The sequence below is a fragment of the Homo sapiens genome, chromosome 14 (assembly GCF_000001405.40).
Source record: "Homo sapiens chromosome 14, GRCh38.p14 Primary Assembly".
Classification (NCBI taxonomy): Eukaryota; Metazoa; Chordata; class Mammalia; order Primates; family Hominidae; genus Homo; species Homo sapiens.
The window spans coordinates 51,357,009-51,371,326 of record NC_000014.9 but is presented as its reverse complement, the minus strand read 5'-3'; the positions used below and the strand labels follow the sequence as shown (position 1 = coordinate 51,371,326).

The following is a 14,318-nucleotide window of genomic DNA, read 5'->3' as shown; positions in this document are numbered from 1 at the left end:
AAATGCAATCTCCTGAGTCAAACGTTAAGATTTATTTTTATGTCTTTACCTTGCCACTCAGCATTAACTTAATCCACTATGTGAGTCCTACACTCATTCATATTAGATGGAATAATCTACACCTAATCTTTAAGCAAAGGGGAGCACTGTAGAGTTTCAGATGGATTAAACCTCACACATTTTATCTTATATGTGTCAGACTTCTCTCTTGAGAACCTCAGAGTAATTTGACCTGAAAAGCCCTTCTAATATCTTGCAGATATCAGCTAAGACTACTTCACTTCTTTTAAAGTAACTACTTGTTATAGCTTGGATGTGGTCCCTGCCCAAACCTCACATTGAAATGTAATCCCCAGTGTTGGAGGTGGGGCCTGATGGGAGGTGACTGGATCATGGGGGTGGATTGCTCATGAATGGTTTAGTGCCATCCCCTTGGGACTGTCCTCGAGATAATGAGTGAGTTCCTGGGAGGTCTGGTCATTTAAAAGTGTGTGGCACCTCACCCTTCACTCTCTTGCTCCTGCTTTTGCCATGTGATGTACCTTCTCCCACTTTGCCTTCCACAATGATTGTAAGCTTCTTGGGGCCTCCCCGGGACCAGATGTCACTATGCTTCCCGTACAGCCTGCAGAACCGAGAACCAATTAAAACTCTTTCTTTATAAATTACTCAGTCTCAGGTTATTTCTTTATAAAAATGAGAGAATGGCTTAAGACACTTATTCTTCATATTCAAATTTTCAAAATAATCTCCACATTTTAACACAGCGAGCAGCTCCTTCCATTCCATGTAGCAGTGGAAAAGGAAAAGAGAGTGAGAGGATACTGCTGGGCTATTGAAATTGTGAAAATCCCCTTTAAAAGTTCTCCCTTAGGAGGCTGAAGCAGGAGAATCTGTTGAACCAGGGAGTTGGAGGTTGCGGTGAGCTGAGATCGTGCCACAGCACTCCAGCCTGGCAACAGAGTGAGATTCCATCTCAAAAAAAAAAAAAAAAAAAAAAAGTTCTCCCTTAACCCAATAAAAGAATATGGTTCCCAAATAAGAAATCAGAGTGAGAAGGAACATGATTATTACATCTTAGGGCCATAAGCAAGGCTACCCTGAATTATGAAAACCGCATAGTGAGGCAGGTAGCGCACTTTTTCCTTGGCTTTGGTTTAAGAACTTGCTCATATGAATCATCTTTAAACCCTAATTGATAATTTTATTTAAACTACTCTATTTTTAAAGAAGTAAAAATTACCTTATTCTCTGATTATGGTAAACCTGATCCTTTGGCCACACGACCAAGGCGCTGAAATGCCCCCTGATGGCCGCCTATCATAATTGCAGACTCATACCTAGCCCCTCGAGGGTTCTCTAACTTCAATCTGTACTCAGCTATTTGCCTATGTAGTGCGGTTTCAGGGTTCCATTTGTTCTAATTTTGTGCCCACTTTTTAAAAATCTTCACTACCTAGCGGATGCATGGTATTCTTCTGATAGTGCTTTATTTCTTTATCACAAAAGCACTGGAAGAGTGATAGTTCTGTGTAATTTGCACTGTGATATAAACAGGTTACTCTTTGGTGTTAAGTTCACAAGTCTTAGCTGGGATGAATTTTGACACTAGAGAAACATTCCAGGGTCTTCCGAGAGAAAAGAGTATTACTGGCAAAGGTGAAAGAAGGGTACAAAATGGAGAAACTAGATAGACCAAAGACCAATTATGTTTTCAATGTTCTCTCTTTACAAAACCATGGTCGGGGCCGGGGGCGGTGGCTCACGCTTGTAATCCCAGTACTTTGGGAGGCTGAGGCGGGCGGATCGCCTGAGGTCAGAAGTTTGAGAGCAGCCTGGCTAACATGGCGAAACCCCGTCTCTACTAAAAATTAAAAAAAAAAAACAAATTAGCCGGGTGTGGTGGCGCGCGCCTGTAACTCGGGAGGCTGAGGCAGGAGAATTGCTTGAGCCCGGGAGGCGGAGGTTGCGGTAAACCGAGATTGCGCTGTTGCACTCCAGCCTGGGCAACAAGAGCGAAACTCCGCCTCAAAAAACAAACAAACAAACAAACAAATAAACAAAAACATGGTTGGCTTTCGGAAGAAAGTGGCTTATGAGGGAAGCAAAGACATTTTGGTAAAAAGCGAGAAAAATCATCCCTCTTAAGTGCCTCTACACTTCATTGCCAGCACCAGCAAACTATTCTGCAACCCATCCTGAGAAATTTGTTTAACCTAGTTCTCAGCACATGTCGCTAAGATTTTCTGTTTATTTGCCTCAGGCTCAGAAGAGCTACATGACCTGGTTACAGTTAACACATGCCAATGGCTAAGTGATTTCTCTAATTTCTTTAGGGAAAAATCCCGTGGTAAAAATTAGAGCCTAAGAATACAATCTAATGTTAATACTAAGAGGAAGGTCTTTATTATACTCAACAGCTGGTTTGGGAGAATATCAGTGAGTGACGCTTCTTTTCTAAGAAGTGGAGGAATTGAGACAGGAATGCCAAACCGCAGAATGTTATCCTCGCACATTCCTGATTCCGATGCTGATTCAGCTGTGCAGACACCAAAATCCCCAAAGATGCCTGCTCTTTATAATGGTTGATTCCAAGAGAGAAAAAGAAAATGTAGCCATTGACTATATTCCTATCGTTTCCTAGATCAAAATCAGAAGATCAGCCCTTCCCAACACCATAGGTTGCTGAGAAACTCAGCACAGTATTCATTTACATGCCTTAACATAGCATCACGTAAGGGTTTGCCTCTGTCACGTAAATCCCAGACATTTCCCTTTTTGGAAGAAATTTTGCAAACTTTCTAAATCTTACCTCTTCATTGAACTTCCACGATGATTTTAAGAGGCTGTTTGCAAGCAAGAAATAATACTGAATTACATCTCATTATCTTCTGAACTGGCTCTTCTACTTTAAATGGGCAATCATTTTGTTTTCCAGAGGTGGAAACCTATCTTTCATAGACTAGCATTACTGTTATTACTTGGAACTACACTGTCCACTATGACAGTCATTAGCCACATGTGGCTATTGAACCCTTGAAATGTGGCTAAACTGAATTGAGATGTTCTACATGTGTAAAATACACACTGGATGTTAAAGTCTTACTGAGAAAAAAATCATTATTAGTTTTTTATATTAACTACATTTCAAATGATAATATTTTGGACATATTGGATTAAGATACGTTATTGAAATTAATTTCATTTGTTTCTACCTACTTAATTTGGGTCCTAGATAATTTTAAATCACATATGTGTCTTGCATCTTATTTCTACCAGTGAATCTCAATCCTTGCTGCATATAAGAATCACCCAGAGAGCTTTTGAAAAATACCTGATGCCCGTTTCTTTCCTCAGATAGAATATCTGGGATTGGGGCTCAGCACTAGTATTTTGTACTTTTTGGAAAGTTCCCCAGGTGACTCTGATGTGTAGCCAGTGTTGAGCTAACTGCTCTAAACTCTGGAATTCTATGATTCCGAGATTCTACTGACAACTCATGCAGGTTAAAAGTTCAGAGTTGTTTTGTCCTTATTCTGTGTAATCAACTTTGTCTGTTCTCATCTATTTCTCCCTAAAGAAACAATGAAATGTTTTTGGAGTCATGCAAGTTAGAACTTGTTTGTTTTAATTTTTAATGAGGTTCACATGAATCCAATACACTGCCAGCACTGGGGGGAAAAATGCATTGAACTTGGAATTTTAAGGCTGATGAGTAACATGTCATCTTTCCTGGAGCTGCTTCTTTCATTTGCCTTTTTCTTCTTGGAGGCACCTGCTTTGTTCCTACTAATAACAAGAAATGCATCACAGTGCTTCCTCAGGCTTAACGTGCCTAAGGATCACCTGGGGATCTAGTTAAAATGCAGATGAGGATTCAGTATGTCTGGGTCTTGCTGAGATCCTGCACTTCTAACAAGCATCCAGGTGATGCCAATGCTGCTGGCCCATGGACCACTCTGTGAGAAGCAAGGCACCAGGACTTAGGGAAAGTGGTAAGACTCACCTGGTGGGTGGAGCTTGTGCACAGCTGTGCAGTCATGTGCAATAATGTCAACAGCACATTGACTTTGTTTTCTGTAATGAACATGGAGCAGCCTTTTTTTTTTTTTTTTTTTTTTAGTATTTATTGATCATTCTTGGGTGTTTCTCAGAGAGGGGGATGTGGCAGGGTCATAGGATAATAGTGGAGAGAAGGTCAGCAGATAAACACGTGAACAAAGGTCTCTGGTTTACCTAGGCAAAGGTCCCTGCGGCCTTCCGCAGTGTTTGTGTCCCTGGGTACTTGAGATTAGGGAGTGGTGATGACTCTTAACGAGCATGCTGCCTTCAAGCATCTGTTTAACAAAGCACATCTTGCACCGCCCTTAATCCATTTAACCCTGAGTTGACACAGCACATATTTCAGAGAGCACGGGGTTGGGGGTAAGGTTATAGATTAACAGCATCCCAAGGCAGAAGAATTTTTCTTATTACAGAACAAAATGGAGTCTCCTATGTCTACTTCTTTCTACACAGACACAGTAACAATCTGATCTCTCTTTCTTTTCCCCACATTTCCCCCTTTTCTTTTCGACAAAACCGCCATCGTCGTCATGGCCCGTTCTCGATGGTCGCTGTCTCTTCGGAGCTGTTGGGTACACCTACCAGACGGGGCAGCCGGGCAGAGGCGCTCCTCACTTCCCAGACGGGGCGGCCGGGCAGAGAGGCATGGAGCAGCCTTTTAAATGAAGTCTGCTCTACTTTGCCCACTGAAGCACAGTTATAATGGCACATATTTTCTCTATGTATAAAAGTGAGCCTCCCAAGAGTAGGACAGCTGAAGCTAGTAGATGTGATTAAGAATCCACATCTTAATCACATCTATCAACCTCATGTCCTACCTTTTTCCTTCCATGCACAGGGGTTAAGAAGAAGCCTATGGGCTCAGAGAAGGGTCTTAAAGTGGGACTAATCCCATTTGTCTCAGGCCTCACTGCCTCCAGCGACAGCAGCCAAGACTGAGTCCCAGACACCACTGCTCCCTGCCCCTCATCACCACCACCTGCCTCAGGTTCCCCAGGGCTAACTGCATCATGCCTTTGATACCTGTGTCCATGGTCACAAGAATCCCAGGCTCCCAGGTCACCCCACTTCTTTATTCTCTCCTCCCCGTAGGGCTCCACACATCCTTCATTCTGTCTCCATCTTCCCATCACAAGACCCCAGCATCTCAAGAGTCCTCCAATGTGCGTCTGGATTCAGAAACCCTCTTTAGAAAAATCCCTGTAATCTGCAGTCTCTTCCCTGAATGTCCCTCTCACCTGGGGCTCCTCCTGCCGATGCTGCTCCTCCTCCCTCGTAGCCTCTCCTGCGCTGACATTTTCCCCTCATTCTCCTGACCACCGGGCTTGGAGATGGGGCGGCGTCCTCTTGGCCCCCAGATACTGCTTCCATACCATCCTCCCCCATCCCTTGCTAAAATCCCTCAGCTGCTTCTCTCATTAACTGCCTCTCGTTGCTTCTACTTTCTGCTCGTGAATTACTCCCTGCTCATGATTTCTTTTAGCTCTGGGCTCACTGCCACACTCTCTTATACACTTCTTTCCCTATTCTTGGTGATTTCAACACACACACACACACACACACACACGCACGCACAATTTATCCAACAATATGTCCTCTCAGTCACTTGAACTCCTCTTCCTCAACAACCTTGTTTGAAATCTCACCTCAGCCACCCACTCCCAGGAACATACCCTCCCAGATCAATGACTTCAACATCTCTGATTCAGTCAGAGTGGGATCCATTTTTTAATTACAAAATCTAACAAAATAAGCACATTCTAAATTAAGTTCCTGCTTGTGGTCCATTGCACCATTGAACTGGGTGGAGAGCCTTCCACATGATGATTCAGGGACCCAGGCTCCTTCTGACTTGAAGTGCAGCCATTCCCTGGGGCTTCACAGTCCTGGCTGGATTCTCTGCATTCAGTGGCAGACAGAAAAGAAAAAGGGTATAGAATTGCATGAGATGATTTTTTTATGGGCCAGGCCTAGAAACTGGGCACATCATCTCCATCCACATTTCCTTTGCCAGAACTAAGCATTGGCCATATCTAACTGCAAAAAGGAACAAAAAAATGTATTCCAGCCATGTTTGGGGGTGAACAACCACCTTGCCATCCATATTCTCATTTTCATCCATCCCAGCATCTGATCACTTACCTCCTGACTCTCCAGTTCATACCACCCAGTGTCCCAACTCCAACAAGCCTTCAACCCACTGGGAACGACCATCCTCTTCTCTCACCACCTTCAACCCACTGGGAGCCCCATCACTGCTCCCACCACCTTCAACCCACTGGCAGCACCCATCCACTGATCCCACCACCTTTTGCTGACCCTCACTATCTTCCCTTTTCAGCTTCCTTTCATTACCTGGGCAATTATCATGATGGCCCCCTTGCATCTAATCTCTATTTCTTTGTCTCTCTGTAGCTTTCCCACTTGGCAACACCTCAACCCTGTTTAAATCTAGCAAACTGTGTCTGCACCCGAACAGCCAAACGTGGCTAGCGAAAAACTCATAACTACATGCACCAGTCCCACTTTATGTTTGTGATAGTGAACATCATGAGTGCTTGGTGCAGCCAGGCAACTGTGTTCATTTCCCTGGTCTATGGACTCTCCCACTCTCCTAGACATCCACATAATACCTTATCCACTCTCCTTAAGCCTCTGATATCTTCTCTCCAGTTCTTAGTTTCCTATTTCACAGGGAAAATTGAAGCCATCAGGAAAATCATTAGACTCATACCTGCCAGCATCATCACCCACATGTGCCGCCTCCCACCTGACACAATAGCTGGCCTGTCTGTGCACCCATCTAATGCCAACCTCCCACCTGCATATAGATCCCATCTCATCCCACCTACTCTAGGGCATTGCTCCAGCAGCTCTCCTTTCTCTCTGGCATCAACAATTCCTCTTCTCATTGTATTATTCTCATCTTCACACAAAAATGCTATTATCACTCTCACTTAAAAAATGAAAAACAAAAAAAAAACCCTCTTGACCCAGTTCCCTATGAACTACTGCCTGTTCCTCTCTTCTGTCTCCAGTTCCTCCCTTCCCTTCTCTGTTAACCCATCCAAGTGGGCTTTAACACCTCTACTCTTGTCAGGGTAACAAATGGCCTCCCCATTACTAAATCCAATGGTCACTTCTCAGTCCTCCTTTAACTCGACCCCTAGCAGCATTTGGTACTGGCCTCCTTGCTCTCTTCCTCACCATCCTCACCACACTTGCTGCCAGGACACCACATTGCCCTGAGTTTCCTTTCACCTCACCTGTAGTTCCTCATCACTCTACTTTGCTGATCCCTCCTTGTCCCCCAGACCTCTGGGGGTGCCGTAGAGCTTGGTCCTTGCACTTTTTCACTTCTCCATCTGCACCCCGCCTTCACCCATTTCATGTAGTCTCTGGCTTTTAACACCATCTGTACCCCAATGGTCCCTCGTATGCCCCCCCAGCCCAGATACCTCTCCCAACTCCAAATGCTCAGGTCCAACGCCTCCTGGATGTCTTCGCTTGGGGATCAAACTCAAGTCACCGAAAGCAAACTTTAATATTCTTCCCCAAACAGTTTCCACCCACAATCTTCCCATCTGGAAAATAACTCTATCCTTTCAGTTGCCCAGGAAAAAATGAAAAAGCAAACAAAAACCCCAAACCAAACCCAACAATAACAACAAAAGCCTTAGAGTCACTAATTCCACACTTTCTCTTATACCGCATGTCAACACATCAGGAAATCCTGCTGAATTTTTCTCCAAAATATATTCACATGTCTCCATGTCCACTGCCACCATCTTCGTTTAAGCCACTGGGGCTCTCCCTGGATTCCCACTAGAGCCTCTTCTCTTGCATCCTTCTCCCTTGCACCCTTGCCTTCCTATGATCTATTCTCAATGCTGCAGCTGGAGTGATCTGGTTATAATATGAATCCTATACCTCCTCTGCCCCTGACACCCCAGTAGCTTTCTATCACACTCAATGTAAAAGCCAGAGTCCCGAAATGACCTACAAGGTCATTTTCTCTTTGACCTCATTCCCTAGTCCTCAACTTCACTTCGCTGAGACCACTCTGGCCTCATTGCTGTTCCTCAGATACATCTTGTATACTTCATGGCCTTTGCACTGGCTAGTCCTTCTGCCTGTATGTGAGGCTCCCAGTATCCACATAGTAAAACTCCTGCTCCTTCTTCAGGCATCTCTCGATGAGTCTCCTTAACCATCTTACTTAAAATAGTTTTAAGTAACATTTTATCACATTCTAACACTTTATGATTTACTTCTTACTATGTTTACTTTTTTATGGCCTGTCTCTTCCCCTTAGAATGTAAGCTCCAATAGCATAGGGATTTTTATCTGTTTTTTTTTTCACTACGATATTCTAATACCTACAGCAGCGCTCAATAAACACATGTTGAATAAATGAATGAATTAAATCATACGTCAATAGTCCTTAGCCCAATGCTATGTACTCAGAAAGTACTCAATAAATTTTCATTACGCAAGAAAATTAAACCACTCTACAATCTTTATTTTAAAATGGTTATGTTTTGTTTGAGAATATCAGAAACTGTCTAGTAGAAAGTACTTTTTTTTTTTTTGAGACGGAGTCTCGCTCTGTCACCCAGGCTGGAGTGCAGTGGCGTGATCTTGGCTCACTGCAAGCTCTGCCTCCCGGGTTCACACCATTCTCCTGCCTCAGCCTCCCGAGTAGCCGGGACTACAGGCGCCTGCCACCACGCCTGACTAATTTTTTGTATTTTTAGTAGAGACGGGGTTTCACCATGTTAGCCAGAATGGTCTCAATCTCCTGACCTCGTGATCCGCCCACCTCGGCCTCCCAAAGTGCTGGGATTACAGGTGTGAGCCACTGCACCCGGCCAATTTTTTTAAATATAGGAAAACCGGAAAGGCATGTGTAAGAGTCATTCTATGCAAATGAAGTACTGGCAGTACCATCTTTCACACCTTTGCAATTGCTGTTCCAGATATTCAAAGCTGACTAATTAGCATCAAGACCTCAATTCTCATAGCCTTTATCTAGTCATTTGCTGGAATCAACGTCATATGTGGACATTATCAGTCTTTAATTGTTTTTAATGCCACTGCTTCTCCAGGTACCATGTGACTTTGTCCACTTATGCTCACACCCAATAACAAAGAAGAAAAAAAGGAGAAAAGGATCAGAAAGAAGAAGATGAGGCAGTGGCAGCAGAAGAAGAGATAGCTGGAAAAGCTTCCGTCTTTTGTTGCCTTATATACACCAATCCGACCTTGCTCAACTCTGCCTGAGCTGCATAGTCACCTCTAAGCTTTCCCAAACCACAGATGATTGGAGGCCACCCCAGAATTACTGAGTCTGAATCTGCTGCAGTTGTGCCCAGGTGTGTGTGCAGTGTTTAAGTTCCCCATGGACCATTCTAATGCACAACCAGATTTGAGCAATACTGGATGGGGCAGTTTACCTGAGAAAAGATCTTATTTCATTGTCATGACAACCACAGAAAGTACATACTTTGATCTTCATCTTATAAACAATGAATCCAAGTCGCTGAGAAGTTAAAAACTTGCTCAGGGTAACACGGTAAGTGACAAAACTAAGGTTCAAATTCAAGGCTTTTTTGGCTATACTCTGTCTATAGTTATGGACCACTCCAAATCCTGAAGCACCCTGTCAGTGACAGGCCACGCTGAGTCCCCTGATGGAACTCAGTCATCATTCACTCTCAGAAACCTCAAAATGCCCATTGGAATCAGCATCTTAAAGACTGTCCACTGGGCACAATAGGCCCAGCAATCCTGCTCACCATCGTAGGCCCTTGACCTTGGCTGTAGGCTCAGTTCCTGTTCCTGAGTCCTGCCTTCTAGCCCATCTCTGAATAAAGGTATGGGGTGGTCTCCCTCATTAGAAGCAGATCTTTCAGGGAAAACTGCCTATTTCCTCAAGGTTGTGAATGTTACTTCCTTGTCCTGGAATCCCCATCTCCTTGCTCCACCTCACAATGAGACTCTGATAGGTCGTCTTGTAGAACCACCCTCCCCAACCCCAAGCCTGAAGCTTCACATTTTATCTATTTGTTTATTCATTCATTCACAAAGTATTTATCGAGCACCCACTAAAAACTAGAAACTAGTAAACTCGACAGTCACAGTACCTTCAAGGAAGCTATGGAGGAGACAAGAAACAAGTCAACTCGCATTCATGCTTCCATTCTTGTAGTGTGTGTTTGGTCATTTGCTGTCAAGGCCATGGACTCCTCCACAAATATTCATCCATGGGTAGATACATGGTAAGTGCTTTGAAGGAAACAGGAGGGAAACAAGCAGTGGATGGGGAAATTTACCTATGAGAGGCTGGTACACAAAGGCTTTGCTGCAATGGGCTCATCTACACTGGAACACAGGATGGGAGGGAGTTACGTATGGGAACAATGACAGGAAGAACATTAGAGGAAGAAGGAGAGGGTGGACACATCCGCTGGGCAGGAAGGAGCTCCGAGTGACAGTGACAAGACGGTTGGTAGGCATGGGGCTGGAGTCCACATGTGGCTTTCTGAATAAAGAACAAGCGCAATATGTATGTTTTGCCAACAGATACTACATTTAGACTATTTGACTCATACTAAGACATGAACACCAAAATGGGGCAGCGGGGAAGAAAAACAGCTAGGCAGGACGAGGCAAAAATAAAGCCATGGACTGCTTCAAACTCTTCATCCAAAAGAGAAATCCTTGAGCAGTGCTTTTAAAATCACGTTCTACAGGTTCTTTTATTTATCCTTTCAGCAAATGTCTGCCACATGCTTGCTCTGGATCAGGCACTGTTCTAGGTGCTGTGGATTCAAGAAAAGTCCCTTTCCCTCTCTCTCATCTCTAAATAGATTCTGAGTGCCCAGCTGGGATCTTTCCTTCCCTGTCTTTTCAGATTTCTCCCTGGGGGTATTTAAATACAGAATGAGGAGCAGAAGATAGAAGGACAAGAGAGACACAGGCTAGGACTAGTGGAGGATTCCTCACCCTGCTCCACAGGATTTTAAGAAAGAGATAATGCTACAGTGTTTGAGGAAAATGAATGGGAGAGAAAAGCAAGAAGTAAGAAGGAACAACATAGCTGTATTGAGCCCTTACTATATGCCTGGCAGTATTCTCAATGTTCACGTTATCATCTCATGTAAATCTTATAATGACATTATGAAGTGGGAACTATTATGACATGCACTTTACAGATAAGAAAACTGAAACAGAGAGGCTGAGTGATTTTCCCAGGGTTACACAGCTGATAAGTGGCAAAGCTGCGATTTAGGCCCCACCAGGGTGGCTCAGAGCTCACGCTCATTACCATTCCATGATAATGTCTTGACGCAACTGCTCTTCACTAGTTAAGCCCTTTATGGCATTCATAAAATGTAAATTTAAAAATTGGTCTTCTTCTTTTCTTCTACTCTCTTAACGTTTTCCATTATAAAATAAAACACAGATTAAGAAACCCACACAAAGTGATTTCATAGCCCAATTCATTGTTAAAAGGTGAACACCTTAGAAACCACTGTCCAGGTCAAGAAATGGAACTTTGCACGGCACCCCCAAAGTCCCTTGTGTGTCTCATCCTGCTCAATATGGCTTCATTCTCACAAAGCTAACCACTGCCCTGAAGTGTTAAGTAACCACTCCTTGTGTTTCTTGTAGTTTTATTACCTAGGCATGCATTCCTAAACACTATAGTGTAGCTTTACCCATTTGTAAATTTGACGTGTCTTTTAATTCTCTTATAGTCTGCAGGGTCTCTCCTCCATCCGTTTCTTTTTGTCCAACTTGACTGGTAGACCTCCCATCATTTGGCCTTTGCTGATTGTATACCGATTGTCCTCTGTCTTCTATCTTTCCTGCAAATGGGAGCTGGATCCAGAGACTTGGTCAGCCTCAGGTTTGAACTTTTGGCAAGATTCTAGGTGGTGATTTGTTTTTTCATCATGAAACATGCAGTGTCTGGTTGTTTCTCTTGTTGTGATAATAGCAGCTGTTGATGCTTGATGCCAAGATCTATTCATTCAAAGGGGGTTGCAAAATGGTAACCTTCTAGTTCTATCATTTCTTTTCCATTTATTAATTTGTCACTGGAACACTTTTCTAAAAATATACTTTCCCTCATCTACTATTTGATTACTCAGTGGCATGTTCACTTAGCAGAAGTAGAATAAATGTTTCTTTCTTTTCATTTACTAATTTTCACAAAAAATGGATTATTTCCCTATTATGCTCTGAAGGAGATCAATTTTTAAGGTATCATTATGAAGTCATGGATTTCAATTTATTTGATGGGTTTCATAATGATTACATTTATTATCCTTTTTGAAGCTCAAATTTCCCCCTCATCAGCCAGTGGAAGCCTCTTCGAGGTGACCCCTGAGTGTTTTCAACATGATCCTGGTGGTCTTCAAGAGCTTCCTCATTATCTGGTATGGCAAGGTGTTCCAGACACATCTTGTACATTGCCCATCCCAAACCTAGAAATAGCATTTTCTCTAGTTTTCGTTAATGGAAAAATGGTGTTTCAAAGACACACCTGGGAACGAGGGATGCCCATTGCTACTGGGTCGGTCATGGTTTCTAAACCTTTTCAGTGAACAGAGCTAGGAAATACACACACACACACACACACACACACACACGCGCGCGTACTCCCACAACTCATATGCATAACATATCTTTTTGTATGTATGTCATAGTCAATAAAAGGGGATTTTTTTTTTTGTTAAAATGATACATTTTGTTTCTTACTTTGCTAGCTTATTCTCCCTCAGCATAGCCCACTGAGGGCTATTGGTATGCAACCCACCTTAGTATTTTGAAGGCTTAGGGAAAAAATAAAGTCATTCTTCAATGCAGGTTTGGGGATTCAGCTCCCATTTCAATGTTATTTTCTCATTATATATTAGTTCAGAAAAATCTCTGCTTGTCTATACCACTTTGCAAAGTGTATTTATATTTTCCACATGCCAAAACTTCATCAAATAGTCCTCTTGGGGGACTATTTGAGATGCAAGCTGTTGCTGAAAAGAAGAGGAAGCAATGTCCTCTAGGCCAGCCCACCTGAGCTTGGCTCTCGCTCCAAGAGTTTGCTAGCTGCAAGTCCAAACTAAAGAATGATCTGCACAGATTGCCAATAACGCACCTTCATGCAAAGGGAATTAACAAGCATATGGCCATGAATACTAATTTTAGCTTAAATGCTAAGATATAAAAGAAGAAGAACAAGGGGCTTTGGAGGAGCACTGGATTGAGGAAGAATTTAGTCTGTGTTGAAAAGCAAGAAAATAGGATGGTATCTGCAAAAGAGATCATGGCAAATATTCCATTTCTGTCACTTTTTTAACAGAAACAGAGGGAGACATTTGCTTTAACACTTGTATAATCAGAAAAGAAACAGCTCCAATGTTTCAAGTACTATATAGCATCATACATGTGGAAGTCCCTTGCATGCTGCCATACCCTGTGCAAATGAACCAAGTATGTTATGAAGAAGTATTATCTAATTAAATTCAAAAATTCTTCTTTTAAATTATCTTGACCCTGTCTATGTGCCCCTACATGTTGTTTTCAAATGAAAGGCAAAGAAACATGAGAGCGTTGGGCTGGCTGCCTCTGAGTGCCCGCAGGGAGGCCAATAATATGACTCTGTGATCATCATTATCTTCATAAAAAGAAAGATCTGGAGGTTGAAACAGGGCCAGCCTCCTGGGCTTCCCACTGAGAAAAAGCACAGAGGCAAAACCTACTTCTGCCCACAAGTCCACACATGCCTGTCATTATTTACCAGAACTCAGCCACAGAGTGTTTAGATAAAGGCATTATATCTCAGGAAAGTTCTAGAAAACGTGCTGTAGTGGCCTGGGGGCCTGAGAAGAAGGAAAGGAAGGCAAGAACATGTATGATGTGCCAGGGAAACTGAACAAATGGGAGTTTTTAAAAGACAAACCAAGAGAAGGAATGTGAATCTCCTGCAGGCCTCTAATTATGTAGGCTTATGGGTGGGAGTCCCAGCCACACAGGAGATAAATGAGAGTTATCCTATCAGAGATGAGTCTTCTCTAGATGGGACAAAATGATGAAGTAGCTGTAAAGTAAGTGAGGAATGCTATCATTATGTTTATGAATTAAGTTGGAATAGTATCTTTAAAGGAGGCTCAAAAATCATTTTCTCTACATATGTATCTTTCTAATCTGTGGACCAGTGCGGCCTCTTTTTCATTATGTCCAGAGAT

General features: G+C 42.9%; 1 long non-coding RNA gene across 1 annotated transcript in view, besides 1 other annotated feature; it reads right to left on the bottom strand.

The window, feature by feature from the left end:
• Positions 1,975-2,559: an enhancer, noted in NCBI's record as "H3K27ac-H3K4me1 hESC enhancer chr14:51835486-51836070 (GRCh37/hg19 assembly coordinates)". NCBI's record gives its function as "activates a minimal SCP1, AML or CMV promoter by ChIP-STARR-seq in naive H9 embryonic stem cells {active_cell/tissue: H9 hESC(naive)}" and the evidence as "EXISTENCE:reporter gene assay evidence [ECO:0000049][PMID:30033119]".
• The window catches only part of LINC00640 (long intergenic non-protein coding RNA 640), a 32,165-nt gene continuing 23,616 nt past the window's right edge, over positions 5,770-14,318 (bottom strand). Inside the window, exon 5 of the long non-coding RNA NR_038358.1 lies at positions 5,770-5,964. This is a non-coding gene — a long non-coding RNA (long intergenic non-protein coding RNA 640). The remainder of the gene's footprint in view (positions 5,965-14,318) is intronic.